Here is a 3,092-nt window from a genome sequence, read left to right as displayed (position 1 = left end):
CTGGCCACCTCTGGCTTCGCGTCTCCATCTCCCACTCTGTCCCCCGGAAGGCAGGTCGGGGAGGGTGCCCCCGGGGCTGGGACACGCAGTTGGCTGGGAGGCGGGAAGGTGGCCTCGGGCGCCTCCTGCTAGTCCCTAAAGTGCCAGCTGGGAGTGCAGGATCTAGGGAAGCCCCATGCCGCCGCAGCGTTGGGGCGGAAGGGCTCACAACTGGCCGCACAGGTAGCGCAGGCGCGCCGATGCCCACTCACGTGCGGACCCGCGTGCCTGTCCGTGGGTCCATATGCGCGAACCCGAGTGTGCGCACTCTGGCCGCGCGAGCGTGCATGCACGCTGGCCAACACGTGCATCCCATTCGAGCGCTGAAAGACCTCTCCCACTCCAGAACGTGGACACGCACAAAGCCCCGCGCGCACCTGCCCAAAGCAGAAAAACTTGTCTAAGGGGAAGGGAAATGGGCAACTGCCCCTGCAGCCAGCAGAGCCCTGGCCTCCGGTGCTCCACCCTCCCACCCCCACGAAGGCGCCGGAATGTTTGAGGCCGAAAGTTTGAGGTGGGCGAGGGCCCGCAGAGGTCTGGGATGCCGCCCGGGAGCCTTGAGCGGATCAGGATCAGCACTAGGGGGCCCCCAACACCGCCTCAGAGTGAGAAAGATGGGGGCGGAGATACTGCTGGCTCCGCGCAGAGGCACCGCCCCCCATGCGCTGCCTTTATTGGCATAGGCAGTCCCTGCGCGAGGCCCCGCCCCTGCCCTCTTGCCGCAGAGGCCCTCTCTCCGCGCTTGCACCGAGGCCCCGCCCCGTCCCGCAGAGGCCCCGCCCCCACCCGGACTGGCTCTTGGCGTGGCTATGCCGCAGAGGCCCCCAAACTCGCCTGCGCAAGACCCTGCCCTATTCTAAACCTCAGTGCGACCTCAATTCGTGCCGCAAGCCTGCCTCGCCCTCCAGCCTCTAGCTGGAAGAAGGTTGCTCTATTCAGTTAGCCCCCGAGTGTTAGCGCCTCCTCTTTCCCTGAGTTGTTGGGGGCAAGAAGTGGTGCCAAGCCGGGAAGAAGGCCTTGAACGCTGCGGGAGACCGTTCTGCTCAGGTCACCTTGGCCCGCAGGGTAGGGACCTTTATTTCCGGAAGTAGGAGGCAGCTGGCAGACGTGAGGCGGGTGGGGTGGCGGGGGGGAACAAACCGGTGGGCTTGGATTCTCTGAGTCACTTACGTGAGGATGCCAGGAGCTCCAGATCCCTTTTGGTTGAATTAAGATGCTACTCACAACCCACAATCCGTGGAGATTGCAAACTCGTGGCCCTCAGGCTGAATTTGGCCTGTAGATATGTTTGATTTGCGAGCACAAGGTTTTAAAATTGTAAAATTTGAATGCCTTTAGGCTGGACACACTTCCAGTTGGTCGCAGTCCCTTCCCCTCCTTTTGTATCACACCCATCCACTTCACTCATTTTCATGCACTGCGTGGCCCCTAAAGACTGAGTTTGCCGCCTCCAATCCAGCTACCAGCACCTGATCCCCATTTTTAAACGCCAAAACCAGGTTTGCCATCTGGCTTGTGGGGAGATTCATTCCTGCTTCCTGGGTGCCAACCCTCACACCTGGTCCCACTGAGAATGGTTCTGCTCAGAGACCAGTGTTCTCATCTGCCAGGGTCAATGCATTCCAGGCACAGGCCTAGAAGTGTCAGCCAAGATACCAGCCTCGTGTCAGAAGCCTTGACCGTGTGCATGTGAGAGCCCACACATCTCATGGGCTCTCTCTGGTGACAGGGACCAAGCCATTTCCCAAGTGCCCAGTATATCCATGAAACGCTTATCTCCAGTAATTTCACTGGAAACTGCCATCAAGTCTTTCTTGTTTTTTACCCCCAATTTATGGATGAAGGAATGAAGGCTGGAGAGGCAGTTACCTGCCCACTGTCGCCATTGCTAGGAAGTGGCAAAGGCCACATTTGGCCCCAAGCCTGTCTCCAAAGCCCACCTCCTTTGGAATTTCCAAAAGGGGCCTGCTTTGCCTCTGAGGGGAGATAAACAAAAGACACAGGAAAATGTGGAGGTAGCAGCGTGGAGATTACGGACACTTGTGCAATTTCATGGAGCCAGGTAGCGAGGTTGTGTATGTGGGTGGGTTTGAGCTATGTGTGCACACTTACAAAGGTGGTATGGGCATGAAGTGTGCTGTGTCTGTATCAGTGTTCACGCATGTACCCATGTTGCGGGTTCGTTTAGTCCGACAGTGTGCGTGGCACAGATGCTCTGTCCTTAGATGGAGGAGGGGCTGCAGGGAACAGCCCTCAGGTCACTGCTCCGACTAGAGCTCACCTAGTGATCACAAAATGGCCAACAAATACATGGAACAAGATAATCTTGAGTTTTACGAAGAACAAAGCAGGGCGGTGTGATAGAATGCGACGAAGAGGAGGTGGTGAGCAACCTTAAAATAAGGCGGCCAGGGGCCGGACACGGTGGCTCAAGCCTGTAATCCCAGCACTTTGGGAGGCCCAGGCAGGCGGATCATGAGGTCAGGAGATCGAGACCATCCTGGCTAACGTCTCTACTAAAAATACAAAAAATTAGCCGGGCATGGTGGCAGGTGCCTGTAGTCCCAGCTACTCGGGAGGCTGAGGCAGGAGAATGGCGTGAACTCGGGAGGCGGAGTTTGCAGTGAGCGGAGATGGAGCCACTGCACTCCAGCCTGGGTGACAGAGCGAGACTCCGTCTAAAAAAAAAAAAGAAGAAGAAAGAAAGAAAAGAAGGCTGTCAGGTCAGTTGTCTGAGTTGTCTGAGGAGGGGAGGTTGGAGCTGAAACCTGATGGAGGAGAGGGTGGTATGGGAAGACCTGGGGGGTGGCAAGTGTCGCAGATGGAGGAAAAGCCCACCTCGCTGTGTCTGTGTGTCCCCAGCAGTGTGGCCATCAGGCTGAGCCCAGCCAGGCCTCCTGAGATCCGTGGATCCAACCCCACCTTACCTGGCCCATGATTTCCCTTTGTCTGCCTGCCTCCTCCTCCATCCAGACAGCGGCCGTCACCTCTGCCTGCCGCAACCCTCCCTCTTCTGAGCTTTTGTTAGTCCTCTGACTGGAAGTGATTTCTCC

General features: G+C 57.7%; 1 annotated feature.

Annotated features, from left to right (window-relative positions):
• Positions 621-890: a silencer, noted in NCBI's record as "silent region_16662". NCBI's record gives its function as "represses an Ori minimal core promoter by ATAC-STARR-seq in GM12878 lymphoblastoid cells {active_cell/tissue: GM12878}" and the evidence as "EXISTENCE:reporter gene assay evidence [ECO:0000049][PMID:35858748]".

This window comes from Homo sapiens, chromosome 5 (genome assembly GCF_000001405.40).
Source record: "Homo sapiens chromosome 5, GRCh38.p14 Primary Assembly".
NCBI classification, from domain to species: Eukaryota; Metazoa; Chordata; class Mammalia; order Primates; family Hominidae; genus Homo; species Homo sapiens.
This window is presented reverse-complemented; position numbering and strand designations above follow the sequence as displayed.